Below are 23,091 nucleotides of genomic sequence, written 5' to 3'. Positions count from 1 at the left end.
ATTCTCCCTGACACCTCCCAGAAGGAACCAGCCTGCCAACATCTTGACTTTAGCATGTGAAACTGATTTTAAACTTCTGACTTTCAGAACTATAAGATAATAAATTAACATTGTTTAAGCCAATAAGCGGGTAGTAATATGTTGCAGTAGCAATAGGAAATGAACACAATGATAATAACTATAATTTTTTTTAAATTAACCAACTTGCTTACTTCATCTTTTATGAACAACACAAACAACCCTGCTAAGCTCATCTTTACTACTCCTCCCTGTGTCTTCTGCATTATGTATTACAAAAAGTCTCAGCTAACTCACTGGGCTCCCCTAATTGTATAGCACTTTAATACTATAAAGATCAGATCATATGGTCTCGATTTTTTATGAAGTTGCTAAAATAGAAAGTTGAAAAAAGTTATAAGTATATAAAGACAAAAGCAAATGAAGTAAATACAGTGTGCAATAATATAATTTATTTTTAAAATCATGGCAATGCAAAGAAAGGCGGTGATTATTTTGAAGCGAGGATCATTTAGCACCTGTTTCAAGGAAGTCATCTTACTGGTTTTGGACACAATTCTTTATAATTAATTAAAATGAGTTTTCAGTAAGGGTGAAGAACACAGAGGCAGGAATGAGTGAGATTATAGAGGAGATAATGCCAAGGCATGGATTGAATAATAGGGGAGATAATGCCAAGGCAGGGATTGGATCTGATGGATCATTCAATGTCCTGAAGACAAAAATGGGCATTTAAAGTAAGAAAAGAGGAAAGTGAAGTTCCCAGATCGATAAACAGTTCAGAGGCAGGAATGATTGTATTTATTTGGTGACAATGGATTGTCAGGTTGAGAAATCCTGGGAAATTAAATTTGTTAGACAATGGGAGATGAAGCAAAAAGTAGCAGGTTGGGGAGTACTTATAAGAAATTGTTGCTGAATGACATATTAGCAAGCATCACAATTAAATAGGTATGGGATGGTACTCCTCTAGAAAGTTCTCTAGTGTTGCAGTGTAAAGACAGGTAAATCTTAGCTGAATTTCTTAGTGTATTCTAACGTACCTGAGGAGAGTCTACTATCGTTATAATTAAAGTGTGGCAACTAGTTTCACCTCTGCCCACTCTTCTGGAAAGAATGCCTATTCCCCCAACACATCCAAAAAAGAAAAAAAAATATCTTTACTTAATTCATTTATTCTTGAGGTAAAAATAAGACGTGTGTTTCAACAGTAAATCTTAAAGTAGGATGTGTTTAATCCATTACCTTACATTTTATAGTACATGCATAAAATTGGGGGAAAAAGGTCATTTTCTATTGGAAAATTTATCAGCTGAAGTTCTGCATTTTGAGTCAAAAATTAAACTTATATCTTAATTAAATTATTCTTTCCACCTTTATTAATTTTAATGAATAAAATAAAAAAAAACCATGTCTACTTACTATTCTTTATTCTGCTTTTCTACTTAAATATCATTTCATGTTAACATGGTCATCTGTTTTCCATATGTATTAAATCACACTGAAGCACTTGTTAGTGTTTTTCAAACATTTTCATATTTCAACATGGGAAATGGGATAAGACCTCTTCCAATCAATAACAATGTGTTTCCCTATGGAATATGCAAGACCACCCTTAACAGGAGATTGGGATCTTCTCTCCTGCCCACCTCCTTCTTCCCTCAATTTAGAACCATTTAGCTGAGTTTTCCCTTTTGTTAGCCTTTGTATATAGCAATTGTGAAGAGCATACAAACAATAACATGCAAGTGGCTATTTCTTTCATTTTTTTCTTTGGGATATACTTACAAAGTTAGAAATACCCTATCATAGGATCTAGTAAGTACTGTAGTTCTTGCTCATTTTCTCAATCACAATGGAGTACCTGTTTCCCAGTTGTTTTTATTTATTCAACAAATATTCACTAAAGTCCAGCTAGCTGTGTGTCAGGCACTTCTCTAGGCACTGAAAATACAAAAAGGAAGGCACCAAACAAACACACACTAAATATCCCTGCCCCCATGGATTAAATATTCTGGAAAATATAGAAAAATAACAGATAATAACAAATTATAAATACAGCTTTTCATAGAATCATTTTCCTGTGGGGAAAAAAAGCAAAGTGTGTTAACATGGGTGAGATCAGCAGAGGTGCTATTTCATACAGGATGGTCATGGGAGGCCTCGCTGGTAAGAAAAAACTACAGCAGAGATCAGAAGGACCGAGGGAGAAAATCCTAAATGCATTTAGGGACAGAGTTAAGTTAGGGTCACAAGACAGCAGAAATGTCCCGAGGATGAAAGATGGTTGGCATCAATGAACTCTGTGGTCAATGTGGCTGGAGCCCAGAAAGAAGGGATGTGAGTAAGGGGAAGTAAATCCAGAGAACTAAGCACAGTACAACAGAACAGGTGGGGCCTGTAAGGCCTTTGGCTTCCACCTTGCAAAAGATGGAGAGCCATTGGCAACTTCTGAACAGAAGTGGCACAAACCCAGTTACATATTAGAAGATCACTCTGGCTACACACTGAGGAGAGCATGGTGGCAGAAAGAGAAGCAAATAGGAGGCCATCCCCAGGATCCGGTTAAGAGATGGCGTTGTTTGGATCAGAGAGGTAGAAAGACATGTCCATATTATTTTAACATAGGTATCATATACAAAAAAGTACACATATCATCAATATATAGCTTAATTTTGACCAAGTAAACATCTGGAAGCTCCCATACAATGCCTCCCAGTCACTAAGCTTCACGGGCAACCTGACTTCTAATAGCATAAGTAAGTTTCGCCTGTTTTTTTCCTTTATATAGATAAAAGCATAGGTTGTATATTTGTGGCTCACTGCTTTTTTTCAACATTACATTTATGAGATTCATCCATGTTTTTATATATATATATATATATTTCATTCTCTGCTACATGATATGCCATCAATTGAATATATTACATTCTACATATAAATTCTGAGTACATATTGAAGGTAGAGCCAAGAGTTTGAAGATAGAAGAGATGAGGGTTATTAGAGAGAGGAGTTGAGTATGACCCCAAATACAACCTGAGAAATTACAACTGATACACAGAAAACTGGGGCAAGAGCAGGTTTGGGGAGAAAAAAACAGAAATTTGGCTTTGAACTTCTTAAGTTTGATATGTCTCCTAGACATCCCAACAGAGCTATCTAGTAGGCAGTTGGATATGTGAGTCTGTAGTTCTCAGGAAAGATACAGGCAAAGGTTCAAATGCAAGAGTCACCAGGGTAGAGCTGCTACATAAAATCATGAGTTAAATTACCTGCAGGCTGAGTGTTACAAGAGAAGTTCCCGTGGTCATAACTGTGCCCAGGGGAACTACGGCCTTTAGAGTTGGGGAATACATCAAGCTTAACTTAGAGGCATTTGAATATGCAGGTCTTTAACCAACAATAAGCCTGTGGAATATTAAGAAATAGTAGCATAAAACCAGCTCTGGTTCTGAATAAGTATCTTGTCCTAAGACATGACCACTGGAAGTAGAGTTTGAGGAACAGGGAGAGGGTGATGGTGCTGTCAATCATCAGCCTACTGTTTGCTAAGTGAGATTCCTGTCCATATAAACCGTGATCTATTCTAGTCACTTATTTCAATATGAGCAGAAGAAAAACTTAATCCTCATTTTAATTTAATCATAAAGCTAAAATACAGTTGTTTAACACCAGAACTTCAAAATACATAGGTTTCTTCTTGGCAAGAAGCTGCTGTGAAATGCACAAAGTAAGGCTCAATAAATGTTGAATGAATTATTCCATATATATCTCAAGAGTTTTTAGTAACAACTGTAGGCAATTTAATGTGATAGATCTGTGAAAGTTAAGAAACCCTCTTTACAATCCAGTTGGGAAAATGAACAAATTCTATTAACTGTACTGAGATAAGCATGTATGTGTGTGCATTTTGAGAAGATACATGTTGGCAGGGAAGACATGGAGAAACATAGTAGAGGGAGGACAGTGAAGGGAGGGAAGTCCTGGAGATGAACATGGTAGGGAAAAGAATGATCAAATTTATGTAAAAATTAAGACAGAGTGAAAATTAGGGGATAAGAAGGTAAGCCACTCTTCCCACTGAAGATTCCTCTGCAGAGTTTAACAAAAGGAATCCACACAATTATGTGTGATGAGTTTCCAAGTATAAAGAATAAAAGAAGTCCAGAGAAGTTCAGAGAAGAGAGAAATAAGTTTACATTGGGAAAGCTTAAGAGGGATTTCTGGAAAAGGTGCAGTTGACGAAGGCCCTGCAGTCATAATCCTAGTAGAGATTCCACTTCTGCTAACTAGATATACTAGCAGAAGGCTTCTGGCCTGGGATTGTGTGTCTCATTATTTATTGCCATTGGTTGAGTCACAAAGGTCATGTGACCAAATCTAATTAACTAGAAAACTCTCTAAGACTCTGATTCTGTCCCTGGCCACCATTGGCACAGTTTCCAGCCTCTGGCAGACCTATGATTTCTATAAGCCACTTGTTCTCCCTCAGCAAGTTAAAGAACCTCCATCAGCATGCACAGAGGGACATAAAATGTCAAGATTAATTCTAAATATTCAAGAGACAACTCTTGTTGAGAGCTGACTTGAAACCAAAAATTACTAAGCACAATTGCTGACAATTAGGGGAATTAACTAGAAAGGGGGAGGAAAACTGGCAGAAGACAAAAAAAAAAAAGACTGTCAAGAAAGAAGGAAGAAAACATACTAAATTTATGAAAGAGATGACATGGACTAAAAGAGAATATTGGTGGGGCAGAGCCAATTTGCAAAAACTAAAAATTCCATTGGCTGTCAATTTCTTCCCTTTTTTTTGGAAATGGATTTGCACTCTTCCCCTTGCGAGGCCCCAAACTGACCGGTAGTAGGGCTTGTGCTGCTCAATAGCTGCTGCATTCTACCCTAGAGGCAGCTGCATTTCATTGTTCAGCAAAGTGATTCTTATGTAGAGACCGAACAATTAAGTACTTAGGCATCCTGCCCAAGCAGGAAGACAACCAGTATCACTACACTGCATCTGTGGGGGAAGATAAGAAAATTTATCTTCCTCCAAGTTAAATGGTACAGAAAATCTTGAAGTTGAGAGCACATCTAAAAGAAGGCAAGCAGGCCAGGTGCGGTGGCTCACGCCTGTAATTCCAGCATTTTGGGAGGTGGAGGCAGGCAGATCACCTGAGGTCAGGAGTTTGAGACCAGCCTGGCCAACATGATGAAACCCTGTATCTACTAAAAATATAAAAATTACCTGGGCATGGTGGCGCGCACCTGTAATCCCAGCTACTTGGGAGGCTGGGGCAGGAGAATCACTTGAACCCAGGAGGTGGAGGTTACAGTGAGCCAAGACTGTGCCATTGCACTCCAACCTGGGCAAAAAGAGTGAAACTCAGTCTCCAAAAAAATAAAATATAAAAATAAAAGAAGGCAAGCAATAGTGCTTTAAGTTGGCTAACTCTTCCAAAGTTTGCTTATTAATTTTCATTTTATATATAAAATTAAACATAATTATTGTAAATATAACCTTAAAAAATTTAAAGATTTGATAAGCAATAAATGCCACTAAACCAGAAAATATTATTTCACTTCAAGCACTATAAATCCATGTACAAATGTGAAATCTCAGCCTTTTCCATTTAAACTAAACAGAGTAGGTGTAAAAGGAAAAGGATTTAGTGAGCTAGTTCTGATTATTTTTAGATTATTGAGTAAACAATAAAGAAGAGAAAGTATTTCACAGTTCTTATGTAGAGTTTAAATTGTTTAAATTGGGTCTTTCAGCTTCTCTGGATCTCATAATTTGAGAAATGTATGATTTTGGACTAACTACTTGTGTGTTTTGCTTTGAAATGAAGCCATTTCAGAATTGTTATTTTACACACACACAGATATAAATTATCATCAGTTTTACATATAATTGCCCCAGAGATTCCTTAAATTTGAATTTCTGTAGAAAGCTGCTACATTTTATTATTTGTTTACTTCCAGTTCAGATAGCTTTACATAAAGCAGCTATCAAATACTTTTTGATCTTTCAAAAAGTGAAAAATAAAAATCAATTATATTTAAGGAACCATTAATTAGCAACATCTCATAAGAGCATGTCTTGTACTGTTTTTGGCAAATGGGCTATACACTAAAGCTCCTAGTGTCATAGGCATTTGAACGAGAGCAACTCCATCTTGAATAGGAGCTGGGTAAAATAAGGCTGAAAGCTACTGGGCCGCATTCCCAGATGGTTAAGGCATTCTAAGTCACAGGAAGAGATAGGAGGTCAGCACAAGATACAGGTCTAAAGATCTTGCTGATAAAACAGGTTGCAGTAAAGAAACCAGCTAAAACCCACCAAACCCAAGATGGTGACGAGAGTGATCTCTGGTCGTCCTCACTGCTACACTCCCACCAACATCATGACAGTTTACAAATGCCATGGCAACGTCAGGAATTTATCCTGTATGGTCTAAAAAGGGGAGGCATGGATAATTCACCACTTGTCTAGCATATAATCAAGAAACAACCACAAAAATGAGCAACCAGCAGCCCTCAGGACTGGCTCCGTCTATGGAGTAGCTGTTCTTTTATTCCTTTACTTTTCTAATAAACTTGCTTTCACTTTACTCTATGGACTTGACCTGAATTCTTTCTTGCATGAGATCCAAGAACCCTCTCTTGGGGTCTGGATTGGAACCCTTTTTCTGTAATACTAGGACATCTTTATTACTTTTCTTTTTTTAAACTTTGTTTTTATAAGTCAGTGCTTAAAACAAAGAAAATACTACCTTTAAATCTTCTTCTCTATATTGAATGCTTCCTTATATTTACAAAGAAAAATTTGAATCAAATATGAGCAAAGTATAAGTTGCATGAATTTTATGAAGTAGAAAGACACTTCTAAACAGTAAGTGCAGAAATTGAACATAATTTATAATAGATGGCACTGTCTTCCTATGTGAAGTAAGAGAAAGGATTGCTTGCTTAGCTAATGCCTTACCCTCCTTAGGCCATTTAGGGGATTAGAGGAGATCGGGCATTCTTAAAGTAGACTAAATGGTGGTTCACAGGGAATTCATGAAACTGAAGTTGTATGTAATGTGTTTGAGTGTGTGTTGTGTTTCTCTATGTTTGTGGGGGAAAGAGAATCCTTCCTTTTCCTCAGAATCTCAGAGGGGTCTGTATTCCCCAGACAAAAGCCTTAAAAACTGCTGAGCTAGAAGATCTCTAAGATTCTTTGAGGTCTCCAAAGTTCCTCAGATGTCTGGTAGTCAAATGTGATTGTTCACAAAAAGAGTCAAACTGCAAAATATTTGAAGAGATTTATTCTGAGCCAGATATGACTGATCAATGGTTCATGACACAGCCCTCAGGAGATGCTGAGAACATGTGGCCATGGTGGCCCGGCCACAACTTGGTTTTATACATTTTAGGGATACATAAAGCATCAATTAATACACGTAAGATGTACATTGGTTCAGTCTGGAAAGGTAGGACAAGTGGAAGCCAGGCTTCCAAGTTCTAGGTGGATTCACAGATTTTCTGATTGACAATTGGTTGAAAGAGTTATTACCAATAGAAAGGACTGTCTGGGTTACCATAAGGGGTTGTGGAGACCAAAGTTTTATGATGCAGATGAAGCCTCCAGGTGCAGGCTTCAGAGATAATAGATTGTAAGTGTCTCTTATCAGACTTAGGGTCTGTTGTAGCAGTAATTTCAAAAGGCAGGCGGGTATAATGAGGCATGTCTGGCTCCCACCTCCCATCATGGCCTGAACTAGTTTTTCAGGTTAACTTTGGAATGCCCTGGACCAGGAGGAAGAGGGGTCCATTCAGATGGCTGGGGGGCTTAGAATGTTATTTTTATTTTACATGATCATCAGGTAAGGGTGAACTTTCAAGCTCATCCTGCAATGGCTCCTCTCTGTGTGACTGTCATCTGGTCATTTCCTCCTTTGGATAATACATCCAGGGTCATCATGGGTAGTATAAAGACTTTAGGAAAGTCCAGCATATTAAAATTATCTGCTGCTAAAATGTCTGTTTACATTTCAGTGTATGGAGTGAGACCATGTTTCACAAAATCTGAAAATAACAATAGGGAAAAAAGTAAAAAAGTAAAAAGCACAGAGGTCAGAGTTAATAAGGGTAGGACAAGGATGAAAAGAAAGAATGACATGTGTCCATTAGTCCATCTGCTACTTATATGCTCTAGGCAGGCAGTAGATTCACCTCAGGCCATCCGCACCCTCCCACTGGATGCTTGACCTATTATCCAGGTGTCTTTCTTCAGGCCTGCTCTCACCCCCACTGCCTGGCAGAAACAGAGAAGGGGGATGAGCCCTTGCAAAACCTCTTGAAGAGGCCAGTCACCCTTGGATACTCCAGGAGGCTTCAATCTATCGTTGGCTGTCAAAATCACCCCAGAAGTTTTCTTCCTGAAAGGCAGTTCCAACCTCAAGACTATTTTTTCCCCATTAAAAAGATCTTTCAAATTACAAGACACACAAATGGAAAAAAAAAAAACAACAACAGAATTTCAGCTGTAAATGTTTCACATCAACAAAGTGAGGTATCTGCCATCATTAATGCCTAATTTGGCAAATGAGCCTTCCCTTGGCTGGAATAAATAAATATTTTCTAACCAGTGGAATGGCCCTATGTCTTAGGACCCTAGGACAGGAATTAGCAAACTTTGGCCCATGGGCCACACTCAGACTGCCACTTGTTTTAATAGTGCCTGCAAACTAAGAATGATTTTTACCTTTTTAAATGGTTGTGGTTTAAATATCTATCTAATAACTTTGATTTTTCAAACTGGCATAAAAACCTTAAATTGTTTCTGTTACTTTATATAAAAACAACTTTGCCTACTTCTTGTCTAAGAGATACATGTCACAGTGAGAAGAGAGAGGAGAGAGAGAAAGAAAGAAAGGCAAGGAAAATGTAATCTAATTCCATATATTAACATGGATGCAATTATCTTAAATATCAACAAGTAAAATATATCAAAGTATTTAAAAAGTACGTATGTTACGTGTGTATATATGTGTGTATATATGTATGTATATATGTATATACGTATATGTTTTATGCATGTGTATATATATGACTGCATATACCCATATATACAGTCATCATGACCAAGTAGGTTTTTTTTCCCATGAATTCAAGAATGGTTCAACATAGAATATTTAGGAATGTAATTGCCATACTAACACATTAAATGAGAAAAATTAGAAGCCATGCAGAAAAAGTACCTAATGATATAATGGAACACAAAAGTCATGAATAAGCCTTTTTTTATTTTTTTTTTTGATGGAGTCTCACTCTGTAGCCCAAGCTGGAGTGCAGTGATGCGATCTCGGCTCACCGAAAACTTCACCTGGCGTCTCAAGCCATTCTCCTGCCTCAGCCTCCCAAGTAGCTGGGACTGGAGGCATGTGCCACCATACTCGGTTAATTTTTTTTTGTATTTTTAGTAGAGACAGGGTTTCACCATGTTGCCCTGGGTGGTCTCAAACTCCTGAGCTCAGGCGATCCACCTGCCTCAGCCTCCCGAAGTGTTGGAATTACAGGCATGAGCCACCGCACCCAGCTGAAAAGGATTTTCCTCTTTCCATCCTTCCTGTTAGGAAGGATGAGGCACAACTATTTCATATAGACAGATCATGCAATCACATGCCATTTGTTTTATGTGAATTTCACATAAATCATTTCCTTTTATTCTTGTCTCTGGCAAGACAAGTACAAAAAAAAAAAAAAAACCCCATGCAAATAAATCTATGACTGGTGGATCTTTGCTACCTGGACATTTCCTCTTTACAAATATCTATTCACCCTGTCCTGGTTATCTTGCCACTAGCTCATTTGGAGAAATAGTATAGGTTAGAAATTGGGACATAATATATTTTTCCTCTAAATGGAGAAATAATTCTGCCATCCTAGAATTGATTTAATAAAATCAGGTCAGATTCCCATCCTTTTGTTTTGGTAAGATGGGTTTTAATCCCATATCTTATGCTCAAACATCAAGTGCTCTGCACAGAGAAGAGAATGGGGCAAGCTCTCTGCTGGACACAAAACATTGCAGTGGTGAAGTAAGTGGGCCTTGGGAGCACTCCACCTGCATCTGAATTCCTGTTCTAGTAATTATCAACCTGTGGCCTTGGTAAGTCTCTCGGCTACTCTTAAGAACCAGTTTTCTCATCCATATATAAAGGAAGATGAGAGTACCTTAGTCATAATGTGGTAAGGAATGCAAATGAATATACACAGTACAGACACACACACACACACACACACACACACACACACACACACACACACACATAACAAGTGTTTGGTATGGGCTAAGAGCTCAGTAAATATTGGCTGTTCTTATAGTAGAGAAATCATCCAGTTGTTGACAGATTGCTTTCACTTAAATTTTCCAGGTAGGGGCCCCATGAGGACCAGCTGTATAGTAAGCAGTTCCTATTTTTAGATTCCCATGAACCCTACTCAAGCTTAAGATAAATTTCCTTCTCTTCAGCTGGTTTGTGTGTGGCTTGAATCTCCACAGCAGCAGTCACAGCAACAAAGCTCTGATTGGAAAGTCAGGCTACTGGTCCCACAGACATGTTTAACCGCAGCTGGAGCCCAAGCAGGTCTCACATACACGAGTCGGCCAACCTGCATAAATCAAGTTGTGAGTTAATTCCAAGGGAGCATTTTCATTATGTGTACTTACATGCTCTAGGTTACTCACAGAAGATGCTCTCAGCTCCTCAGAAAGAAACATATAGAAATTGTACCAATGTGACAGAGCTCTTTAGCAAACTCCATGTGGGTTTGGCTCAAATAACTAAAAGGGTTAGAGATTAAGCTAATACTTTTATCTCCTAGGCTCCATAATTAGGAAATGTATTTTCTGTGGAATATAAGAACAGCCATCTGTCCTGAATTAAAGAATATATAATATCATTACAAAAATATGATGCCATTGTTTCATTGTTTTTGAAATATGATTAACAAGCCAGTGAACAATAAGTTTGAAGTTTAGAACTACTTTATGATAAGTGGATTTAAATGCTTGAATGTGCGGATATATTTGGCAATTCTATCCCAGTTGAGTAGTTCATGGTCTCTGCCATCTCCTAATTGTCTAAGTGATTGCTTTTGATTTATACAGTGGTTTTTCTTCCCGACTCATATGCAATTGATTTACCTTAAACCTTCAGTGTAGCTTTCTAAAGAATATAAGCTTAGAAAGCCCTTAGTTATCATGAAGAGATTTTGTATCTGTTACCATGGATATTGCTTTGGTGGTACCCAGACACTATCATGCCAAGAAGAATCACATAGTACCTTTCTAATTATGTATCCTGTTCATTATTTATTTAAAAAAAAATTCCAAAAGTTAACTGGTTGGAATTTATTAGACACCAATCTAAGGCATATACAAACAACATAAACAAAAGCCGTGTTCAAAGTTTCATTATTTGAGGATTCCACATTTTAAAATTTCAGGCAGATGAAAGTTTACTGGTCTTCATTAAACTGTGCCAGAATATCTTTGCTGTCTGTTTGAATAAATGCTTTGGACACTAATTTCCAAGTCTGCAGCTCATAAGGGAGGAGTATAATCAGATGACTCTTGCCTATGTATAATTCATAAGTAACTGTCAGGGTATGAAGTTAGATGAATTCCCTCTCACTCATACCCTTACCAACTATGGAGAATACTGTGAGTTAAGAGTTCAAGTACTTCCTAATATTAAGAGTCGGAAGAAGAATTTGAGATTTCAATAGTAAATTTAGAAATGCAACAAGAAATAAAGTTCTCATGACCACTGAAGAGTGCTATTTAGCTGGTGGTGGAGGTGGTGGCAATGTCAACTGTCTACTATGCAACACCTACCAAAAAACTCAAGAATAAAGATAACACAGAAAATGGCATTTATTTGTTTCGAAAACATAAAAAAATGGCCTAATGTTCCCATATTCCACATGCCCTCTACCACAGAGTTGAATCTCACTGGGCCTCAGTTTTGTTTTTGTTTTTAATGCTGTAACTAATAGTTAATGCATGCTGGGCTTAATACCTTGGTGATTGGTTGATAGGTGCAGCAAACCACCACGGCACATGTTTACCTATGTAATAAACCTGCACCTCCTGCACATGTACCCCTGAACTTAAAATACATTTTAAAAAATGCTTTAACTTATTTAAGTTCCAATATGCTTTGATCCTTTGTATTTTTCTACTCTTAGTTGTAGCCTCTTGAGAAATGCTAATATCAATGATGCCAAAATGTACTAAATAGATCATTATATAATGGTAGCATTGCTAAAGGGAAAAGTTAAAAATAGAGAGAAAATTAAAAATTGAAGTAGACATACAGCTGTCCATTTCTGTCTGTATCCTCTACAACCAAAATGCCACAAAACTGCAGAATTTTTAAAATAGAATATTAAAAGATCCAGGGCTTTTGTTGCTTCTTCCAGAACTGTTTTCCAACTGTCATTCATGCCTTGTCAACCATACCAAATGAGAGAAACCCAACACTGTCCATTTATCAGCAGCTGCTGTTATTGTTTAGTCTTTCTTATGAATATCGCCCCCTTCCCAAGCAATGTTCCAACTAGATAAGCTCAGCAGTATTAACCATATAGTCCAATCATAAAGGGATGGCTTTAAAATATTCATTGGTGATAAAAATGACCCCTAATGTTACTGACGCAATCTGCAATATAGGAACAATTCATCCTCTAAAGTTACAAATGCTGAAGGTCAGAAGAAAGGTTTCTCTATGCCACTAAGGCTTAGGAATCTATTCCTTTCCTGGTAAGTGGGGTGAAAGTGAAAGAGGGAATAAGAAATAGAAATTTCCTAATATTGGGCCAGAAAGATGGTGCAAATTCAATATTGCTTTTGGGGGCTCATTTCAAAAAATAATCTTACCACCCTGTTTTGTGGATATTCACAAATGAAATACATAGTTTGTAGTTCAGTATTACTGCCCTGTTTGCTTATAACCATGCCTTCTTCTCAGAGCCATTTCCTACAGCTCTGTTAACTATGGTGCCTTTAATCAGTACTATGTACATGCAATTACCCAGGGAGCTCTCATTTTCCTGTGTGACTCCACTCCTGGCCCAGAGTGTCTAGAAGAGTCTAACAGTTACATATTGCTGCATTAAAACAATAAAAACAAACAAACAAAACCACACTCCAGAAGTGAGTGTCTTAAACCAATAACCATTTATTAGTTCCCATGACTGGAGGCATGGCGGGTATTCTCTGAACTTTCTAATACAGAGGCTTTCAACTACAGGGTCAGCTAGGCTAGAAGGTTCAAATGGCCACATTCCCATTTAGCAATTAGCACTGCTGTCAGCAGGGGGTTAAGATCAGCTGGGAGAGCCACACTTCTTTTTCTATTTAGTATTTCATCTGGGGTCTTCATGCCTTCTTCTCTCATGTCAGCATTACAACAGGGCAGAAACAAACATTAAAAAGTCTCTTGAGGCCCGGGTGCAAAACTCATTCAGTGTCACTTCTGCCACAACCAGTTTGTTAGTTAAGGCAAATGTTAAGACAGGTTCACAGATTCTGAGAGAGGGAATATTTGATTTCTTGATGAGAGAAGCCACAAAGCCACATTGCAAAAGATCATGGGGGAAGGTGTAGCAGCCATCTCTGAAAACAATCTACCAAAAGGGGACTCGAGTCTCTATAATAATACAGCAGCCAAGATTTTACACTAACCCAAAGAAAGTAGTGAATCAACTCTGGCTCTCTCTGGTTAAAACTCAGATTGTGTTGGATCTATCTAGTGGACAGAAAAAAACAAAAGATAATCTTCAGCATGAAAGCAGTTTGGCACATATCAGAAAGGAACAGAGTTGAAAGACAGAAAGACTCACTATGTTTGTTTCCACCTTTGCATGAGGCCTCTCAGTGGGTGCCTTAAGACCCCCATTCTCCATAAGATACTGTGAAAGAAAAACATCTTGAGCCCCCAAAATCACTAAGCTAAAAGGAAAATTTATGCTGGAAACTGCTCAGGGCAAACCTGCTTCCCATTCTATTCAAAGTCATCCCCTCTGCTTACTGAGATAGATGCATATTCTGACTGCCACCTTTGGAAAGGCTTATCAGAAACTCAAAAGAATGTAACCATTTTTCTGTCACCTACCTGTGACCTAGAAGCCCCCTCCCTGCTTCGAGCTGTCCCCATATTTCTGAACGGGAGACATATATTGATTGATGTCTCAGGTCTCCCTAAAATGTCTGAAACTAAGCTGAGCCCTAACCACCTTGGGCACATGTCATCAGGACCTCCTGAGGCAGTGTCATGGGAGTGCATCCTTAACTTTGGCAAATAAACTTCCTAAAATCATTGAGACTTACCTCGTCATTTTTCTTGATTGACAATACCATCCTCTCTTGCTTAATTCAGATTGGGTTCCTGCCACTTGTACCTAAAAAAGTCATCTTAACTCACACTTCCAGTTTATGTCCAGTTTATGGGTTATGGCTGTTCACTCCAACCTTTCTAGTCTTCATGGCTGTTTCCACATGACTAGATGCCTTTTATAATATTCTTCCAATTCTGGAAGTAAATGGACATGGAAGGCCTATAGGAGAGAAAATCCTAAGCAAGCAAGCCCTAAACCTATCTAATCCCAGAGTGAGATAAAGTTCCTAGAATAAAATGTTATGTTTGATAGAACAACTGAAAATGCTACATTAAAGTTTTTAAACATTTTTCAAAATTCATTTTAATATTACTGATGATCTAATATGGTGCTAATCATTAGGTATGTAAAAATGGACAAACATGCTTTGGGAGGCCAAGGTGGGAAAATCACTTGAGACCAGGAGTTCAAGACCAGCCTGGACAACATAGTGAGACCCTGTCTCTACACATTTTTTTTAAATAGCCAGGTAAGGTGGCCTGTGGTCCTAGCTACTCTGGTGACTGGGCAGGAGAACCGCTTGAGCTCAGTAGTTCATGGCTGCAGTGAGGTATGATCATGTCACCACACTCCAGCCCGGGCAACAGAAGAGAACCTGTCTCTTAAAATAAATATTCCATGTTCTCATGATGCTCAAAGGCAAGGCAGAGAGTCAACAAAACACCCTGGCCTTATGCTGAAGCCTCATGCTGAAGATGGGAGAGCTGCTCACCAGACCATGCATCCACTTCTGAACTATTATCTGAGATGGAATTAAACCACTATCTTGCCATCTTCTCTAAGGTACTGTATTTTTGCATCTTTTTATTAAAGAGACCTACCATATGCCTTAACTAATTTTATGTGAGCAAACAACAAGCTGTGGGAACACAGACACTTGAGAGATTGAGTCTTCAGGGATGGGGAGTGGAGTGTGGATGGACGTGTTGAAGACAATTTTTTTAATATCAAACTGATTAATGTCCCTATCTTTTTTCTTTAAACCTCAAAGTCTTAGTTCAGCATCTGTCATGTTGTAGGCAGTTAATAAATATTAGTGAAAGGAAGAAAGGGAAGGAGAGAGGATGGACAAAAGGTAAGAGGAATAGAGAGAAATGAATTTCAGAAGTCCATTCTATAGCAAGTCTTCTCTATCCTCTCTGGCACCATCAAAAGAAAAGAAAAAAAAAGAAGAGGAGAGGAGGGGAGGGGAGGAGGGGGGGTTAACTTATCCAAAGGCTCATTTTAGCACAAAACATATGAAATTGTTACATCTTTAACACGGGATTTTTATAAGGCTGTGATCATAGCCATAAAACTATTATATAGCATTAGCTTTAAAATGTACAAAACAGTCGCAATGAGAATTCTCAGTTTGGAAGATAATTTTGTATCAACTAGAACAAGGGTGCCCAACCCCCAGGCCATGGACTGGTACTGGTCACAGCAGGAGGTAAGCAGCAGGCAAGTGAGCCAAGCTTCATCTGTATTTATTTACAGCCACTCCTCATCACTGGCATTACCGCCTGAGCTCCGCCTCCTGTCAGATCAGTGGTGGCATTTGATTCTCATAGGAGAGTGGACCCTCTTGTGAACTGTGCATGCAAGGGATTTAGGTTGCCAGATCCTTATGAGAATTTAATAATTGATGATCTGTCACTGTCTCCCATCACCCCCAGATGGGGCCATCCAGTTGCAGGAAAACAAGCTCAGGGCTCCCACTGATTCTACATTATGGTGAGTTGTATAATTATTTCATTGTATATTACAATGTAATAATAATAGAAATAAGGTGCACAACAAATATAATGTGCTTGAATCATACTAAAACCATCCCCTTACCCCTCGTCTGAGGAAAAACTATCTTCCACAAAACTGGTCCCTGGTGCCAGAAAGGTTGGGACCGCTGAGCTAAAAGACAATGACTTTCAGAGGACATGATACTTTTCTGCTCTGTGGTTCGACTATCAGCTTAATGAATTCTGATTTTTAAGTATATTCTAGTTCTCATTTTGATGCCATCTACAAGGATTAAGTTTACATAAAATATCAAGTTTTAAAATAAGTACAAACCACAAATTTCTCTACTGTGATTCACCACATAATAGGTAGTTTGATTTGGAAAATCAAAACAAAGCAAAACAAAAGCAGCCTTGTCTGTCAACAACAAAAAATAGGCTGTGATTAGAAATTTCACGAGGTTAGAGGCCAACCAGCTTGATCTGCATTCTAATTCCTGATTTGCCACTAACTGTGTTACCTGGTAATTCTTTTAAACTTTCTGCAATAATTTCTTCATCTAAAACATAGAAAGCTAGATGCTATACAAGTTAAGAATTGATTTCACTTACTTTGAAGATAGAACTAAGTTTGAAACCAAAAGCTGCTAATAACTGGCTGTCATAACTTGAACTTGTTACTTAAGTTCTCCAAGGTGCTCCAGTCTCAACAATAAAATGAGAAACATATTATTTAACTTTTAACTAATGGAGTTTAAAAAGAACATATATATCTCTCTTGGTAATCAGAAATTGAATGAGTAATGTTTCATTTCTTTGTACTCTATTTTGATTTTAAAATAGTTTGCCCATATTTTGCAAATGTTAAATACTGACATTTGCCTTAATAACATGAAGCTATTTTGTGCACATCAAACATAGCTTACTGTGTGCAGACAGTATTTTTGTGGTATGCCTGTTCATCTTTAGTGTTACCCTTTACTTATTGTAGTTTACTGCTTTAGTGAGCTTACAAAGATTATTACTTTCATTGCATGTGTCTCCGAAGTTTTGTATTGCCTTATTTTTGTCTAAAAAATGATGCACTTCCAGTGATTTTGGTGTTGACTAATTGGTCTCTGTTTCAGTTAATTTTCTGCAATTTAGAGACCATGAACTAAATAATATACACATAGCACAATGTTAGGCACTGAGACAGGGAAGCAATCCTCGTCTCAAAAATCTCAGACTCAAAACCAGCATTTCTCAACCTCAGCATTATTGACCTTTTAGGCTAGATAATTCTTTGCTGTGATGGCTGTCCTGTGCATTGCAGGATGTTTAGCAGTATCCCTGACTTCTACCCCCTAGATGGTAGAAGCACTCCCCAACTTGTGACAACCAAAAATGCCTCCATACATTGTCAAATGTCCCCTGGAGGGAAGTGGTAAAACCATTCACTGTTCTAGATTCATGCTGCCAGTAAGGTAACAATTTAAAATTAAGTAAAATTAAATGAATTTTAAAACTCAGTTGCTCAGTCACACTAGTCACATTTTAAGTGCTCAGTAGCCACATTTGGTGAATGGATACCCCACTAGACAGCACAGATATAAACTATTTTTATTGCAGAAAGTTCTATTGGACATGATGACTTCAGGGTAAAGGCTATGACAAAAATACAATAACAAACGTAATAATAATCAGGATTCCATTCCAGTATTTCCTCCATTGGAGAACTCCTAATCAGAAGAATATTTCAAATTGAATTCTTTCTGTAAACGCTTCCTCAACTCATCCTTTAAGAAAGAATTTAAGAGACTTCTGCTATGAGGCCAGTAGTTCAAAACGTAACTAATGCTTAAGGACAGCTTCAAAACAAGGCCCAGTTGTAATTATTGGATAGGCACAATGACAGAGCTAGGGATTAATCTTTACTAAGGGCTAAATTAGGAAGGATTATGAAAGGAATTTTTAACAGGTATATATAATCCAGAAGTTTCTGGAGATGTAATCTACGTGAAGAACCTGTTGTTAAAACAAGATGAAAATATCAACTGACTTTATGGAGGGTTTCACTTCAACAAAACCAGAAGTGGCCTGCAGAGTCATCCAGCTTTAACACTTCAGTCTCCTTGAACATCAGAGTCAGCTGGCCCAAGGAAAATGCATTGATTAAGTGACCCTCCATTTTTCAAGATCAAATATGCCCTCAACCTGCTAACAGAGCAACACGAGACCACAATGTCCAATCAAGAGGGCATTCCGAAGTCAACATTTTTGGACATTTTTTAAGGGGAAAAAAAGAATTCTAAGAAAGAAACTTTAAGAACAGTCACACAGGCCGAGCACAGTGGCTCATGCCTGTAATCCCAGCACTTTGGGAGGCCGAGCCGGGCGGATCACGAGGTCAGGAGATCGAGACCATCCTGGCTAACATGATGAAACCTCTTCTCTACTAAAAATACAAAAAAATTAGCCAGGCGTGGTGGCGGGCACCTATAGTCCCAGCTACTCAGGAGGCTGAGGCAGGAGAATGGCGTGAACCCGGGAGGTGGAGCTTGCAGTGAGCCGAGATGGCGCCACTGCACTCCAGCCTGGGCGACAGAGTGAGACTCAGTCTCAAAAAACATAAGCAAAACAAAACAGTCACACAAACTGCTTTTCACAAAAGGTTGAGCTGGACTCTTACTGGCTACACGGTATGAGAGAGTTGGCGTGTGTTAGGGAGGGAGATGAAGCCTTTGTGTGTATGAAGCTTCATATTTAATAAATCCCCTAGAAACAGTACTAATGAATATTGTCTCCTAAACATTAATCCCCAAAATGAAGGGAAAAAACCCTCCTTTTATTATTGACAATTTTACCTCCTTTTATAATTGACAAGAGCATGTGATGCTATTGTGGACTAATTGATTCAGAAAGTAGTTATTAAATATTTACTGTGTCTTGTCTCAAGACAAGAAAGCTGGGGAGGAGGCAGAGCAAGATGGTGGAATAGAAAGCTCCACCGATCACCCCTGCCACGGATACCAATTTAACAACTATCTATATAGAGAAAACATCTTCAAAGGAACCAAAAATCACCTGACACCTCATAGTACCTGGTTTTAACACGGTATCACTGAAAGAGGCACTAAAAAGACAGTGCCTCCTTCAATCATACAGTGTTAAAACCAGGTACTATGAGACTTTTCTCTTCAGGCACAGAAAACTCCTGGATCACTGAAGCCACCCCTCCCTGACCCCATGCAAAGAGCACCTCTGGCACTGGGAAAGGGACAGCTCAGCAATCCTGAGGAAATGAACTCAGTGCTGTCCTGTTAGAGAAGAAAGGAAAATCAGACCAAACTCGGCTGATACCTACCCACAGAGGGAGCATGTAGACCAGCCCTAGCCAGGGTGAACCACAGATCTCAGAGGTCTGAACTTGAGTTCCCACAGACCTCATCACCAAATGCCAAAGTGCTCTGGGTCTCTAAATAAACCGAGTCCTAGTGCTCAACTGGGTCACAGACAGTGGACTGAAGGGGCATGTGACATACTGACATACTAGCTGGGGTGACTAAGGGAGTGCTGGCATCACCCTTCCTCTAACCCCAGGCTGCACAGCTCACAGCTCCAAGAGAGACCCCTTCCTTCTGCTTGAGGAGAGGAGAAGAAAGAGTGGGGAAGACTTTGCCTTGCATCTTGGATACCATCTCAGCCACAGCAGGATAGGGCACCAATCAGAGTCATGAGGTGCCCGTTCCAGGCCCTAGGTCCCCAAAGATGTTTCTAGACACACACTAGGCCATAAGGAAACTTGCTGCCTTGAAGGGAGGAGAACAAGAGTCTCTGCCTAATAATACAGAAAATTCTTCTGAATCTTGTCTGAGATCATCGAGGCAGTACCTCTACATGTCTGTGAGAATCACAGCATTACTGGGCTTGGGGTACCCCCTAAAGCAGATACAGCTTAGATCACTACAACGAAGTTTTTTCAAATATCTGGAAAGCCTTCCCAAGAAGGATGGGTACAAATAAGCCCAGACAGTGATCATTAAAATAAATAACTAACTCTTCAATGTCTAGACACCTAAGAATATCTACCAGCATCAATACCAGCCAGAAAAACATGACCTCACCAAGTGAACTAAATAAGGCACCAGGGACCAATCCTGGAGAAACAGAGACATGTGACCCCTCAGACAGATAATTCAAAATAGCTGTGTTGAGGAAATGCAAAGAAATTCAAGACAACACAGAGAAGACATTCAAAATTCTATCAGATACATTTAACGGAGATTGAAATAATTAAAAAGAATCAAGAAGTAATTAGGGAGCCAAAAAATGCAATTGGCATACTGAAGAATGCATTAGAGTCTTTTAATTGCATAATTGATCAAGCAGAAGAAAGAATTAGTGAGGTCGAAAACAGGCTATTTGAAAATACACAGTCAGGGCCAGGCGCAGTGGCTCACGCCTGTAATCCCAGCACTTTGGGAGGCCGAGGCAGGCGGATCACGAGGTCAGGAGTTCAAGATCAGCCTGGCCAACATGGTGAAACCCTATCTCTACTAAAAATACAAAGAATAGCTGGGCATGGTGGCGCGTGTCTATAATCCCAGCTACTTGGGAGGCTGAGGCAGGAGAATCACTTGAACCCAGGAGGTGGAGGTTGCGGTGAGCCGAGATCATGCCGCTGCACTCCAGCCTGGGTGACAAAGCAAGACTCTGTGTTAAAAAAAAAAGAAAAAAGAAAATACACAGTCAGAGAAGACAAAAGAAAAAAGAATGAAAATCAATGAAACATACCTATAGATCTAGAAAATAGCCTCAAAAGGGCAAATCTAAGAATTAATGGCCTTAAAGAGGAGGTAGAGAAAGGGATAGAGGTAGAAAGTTTATTCAAAGGGATAATAACAGAGAACTTCTCAAACCTAGAGAAAGATAATATGCAAGTACAGGAAGGTTACAGAATACCAAGCAGATTTAACCCAAAGAAAACTACCTCAACGCATTTAACAATCAAATCTGTCAAAGACCAAGGATAAAGAAAGGATACTAAAAGCAGAAAAATAAAAGAAACAAATAACATGCACTGGAGCTCCAATACATCTGGCAGCAGACTTTTCAGTGGAAACCTTACAAGCCAGGAGAGACTGGCATGGCATGTTTAAAGTGCTGAAGGAAAAAAACTTTTACCTCAGAATAGTATATCTGGTGAAAACATCCTTCAAGCACAAAGGAGAAATAAAGAATTTTCCAGACAGACAAAAGCTCACGGACCGCATTAACACCAGACCTGTCCTACAAGACATGTTAAAGGAAGCACTTCAATAAGAAAGAAAAGGACCTTAATGAGCAATAAATAATCACCTGAAGGTACAAAACTTACTGGTAACAATAAGTACACAAAGAAACACAGAATATTATAACACTGACTGCGGTGTGTAAACTACTCTTATCCTAAGTAGAAAGACTAAACCATGAACCAATCAAAACAAGAAAGCTGGATTTGTTCCCAAGAATGAATTCGCTTTAAAAAATAAGTTCCCACTAAATGCAATGTGTATACTGAGCATTGACAACGTGCACAAATAAGAACATACTCAGAGTAATTATAATCTAGGCAATGGGAGAAGGGCAAAGGTGAGGGAGTACGCAAGTAACATAACACCAAACAGGACAGAATATACACTATTAGTCACAGTGTTGAGGCTGCATAAAAAGAGAAAGATCACATCTCATTTTAAAAATTCACAAGCCTTTCTGGAGGTAGCCTTTAACTTTATCTTTGAGGATTAAGTAGAATTTTGGCATATTCCTGTGGGGGAGAAAATGTGATTCTCAGCTAAAGCCAAACTTCAACGCAGGGAAGATGGGTGTGTGTTCTGAAGTGCTTCGGCATGCTGGGATGTGGGGATAGATCTTTCTGGAAGGGCAGTCTAGGAGTCCAGTAGCAACTTTAACCTGCCCACCTCCCATTAAACACAAGCATCTTATTCAATGTGCATATAGAATTTATACTTTAACAAGCTCCCCAGGCGATTTTAATGCATACAGAAGTTTGAAAACCACTTCAGTAAAGGAACGTTTGAAACTACTTGGAATATTTGTAAGTAAAAGGAATATGTGAAGTCAGGGAATGCAGATAATTTAGATAGCTTTAGAAAAAAAGAAAGTACTAGTGACTTGTGTCTCTAGAAATGTAACAATAGAGGAAATACTCTTTTTTGTTCTTCTGTCATTATTTAAAGAAAATAAAATCATTTCAACCACGGTCAACAAATGTTTACTGAGATAAGCACTGGAAAAAATACTTTCACATATATTACCTCATTTCGTCTTAACCACATTGTGCACAAACCAAACCAAACATTGTGCACATTGTTTTGAAAACAAACCAAAAACTTATTAAATCTTCTTGTTGAAGGATGATGCCCTTCTCCCATTGCCTAGATATCTTGTTGAAGCTCTGATCCTTAAGTTCCATTTTTTCCCTCTGAACCCTACCATAACCTCTAATTACTCTCACTATTTCTAACACATATGCATACTGAATTCCAAGCAATCCTACCCGGTTGTCAGCTCAAGTTTTGGTCCACATCTTTTCCTCACTTAGTGAATCCTTTGTAAACCCTTCTGTTGTCTCTTTACCTAAGACAGACAGAGTGGTCAGCTCATGCCCTTACTCCCTGGGCCCACATTCTAGTTTTAGTCTATCTAAAGCAAAATGAAGTCTTTTAAAAAAAGGCAATTTTAAGATCCTATTTTTCAGTCTAGGAAACAGGTGTCTAAGCCACTCACTTATTTTTCCTTTTTACTGGACCACTCTTATCTCAAAGACTGTTCTGTGGCTTTTGGAGAACCAACAAGGCTTTTCCTGATGAGCCCTCAAACTTATCAAGGAATGCAAATCCTGTCTTTGTTTCTTACAGAT

The 23,091-nt window shown here is 38.6% G+C and overlaps 1 protein-coding gene across 11 annotated transcripts in view, besides 2 other annotated features; it reads right to left on the bottom strand.

Annotated features, from left to right (window-relative positions):
• The window catches only part of CTNNA2 (catenin alpha 2), a 1,463,404-nt gene that overhangs the window by 861,118 nt on the left and 579,195 nt on the right, over positions 1 to 23,091 (bottom strand). The gene's annotated exons all lie outside the window — the stretch shown is intronic.
• Positions 4,503 to 5,126: an enhancer, noted in NCBI's record as "OCT4-NANOG-H3K27ac hESC enhancer chr2:80009663-80010286 (GRCh37/hg19 assembly coordinates)". NCBI's record gives its function as "activates a minimal SCP1, AML or CMV promoter by ChIP-STARR-seq in naive and primed H9 embryonic stem cells {active_cell/tissue: H9 hESC(naive and primed)}" and the evidence as "EXISTENCE:reporter gene assay evidence [ECO:0000049][PMID:30033119]".
• Positions 5,127 to 5,752: an enhancer, noted in NCBI's record as "OCT4-NANOG-H3K27ac hESC enhancer chr2:80009037-80009662 (GRCh37/hg19 assembly coordinates)". NCBI's record gives its function as "activates a minimal SCP1, AML or CMV promoter by ChIP-STARR-seq in primed H9 embryonic stem cells {active_cell/tissue: H9 hESC(primed)}" and the evidence as "EXISTENCE:reporter gene assay evidence [ECO:0000049][PMID:30033119]".

This window comes from Homo sapiens, chromosome 2, assembly GCF_000001405.40.
Source record: "Homo sapiens chromosome 2, GRCh38.p14 Primary Assembly".
In the NCBI taxonomy this organism is placed as follows: Eukaryota; Metazoa; Chordata; class Mammalia; order Primates; family Hominidae; genus Homo; species Homo sapiens.
The sequence above is the reverse complement of the archived record's forward strand: the minus strand, read 5'-3'. Positions and strand labels throughout refer to the sequence as shown.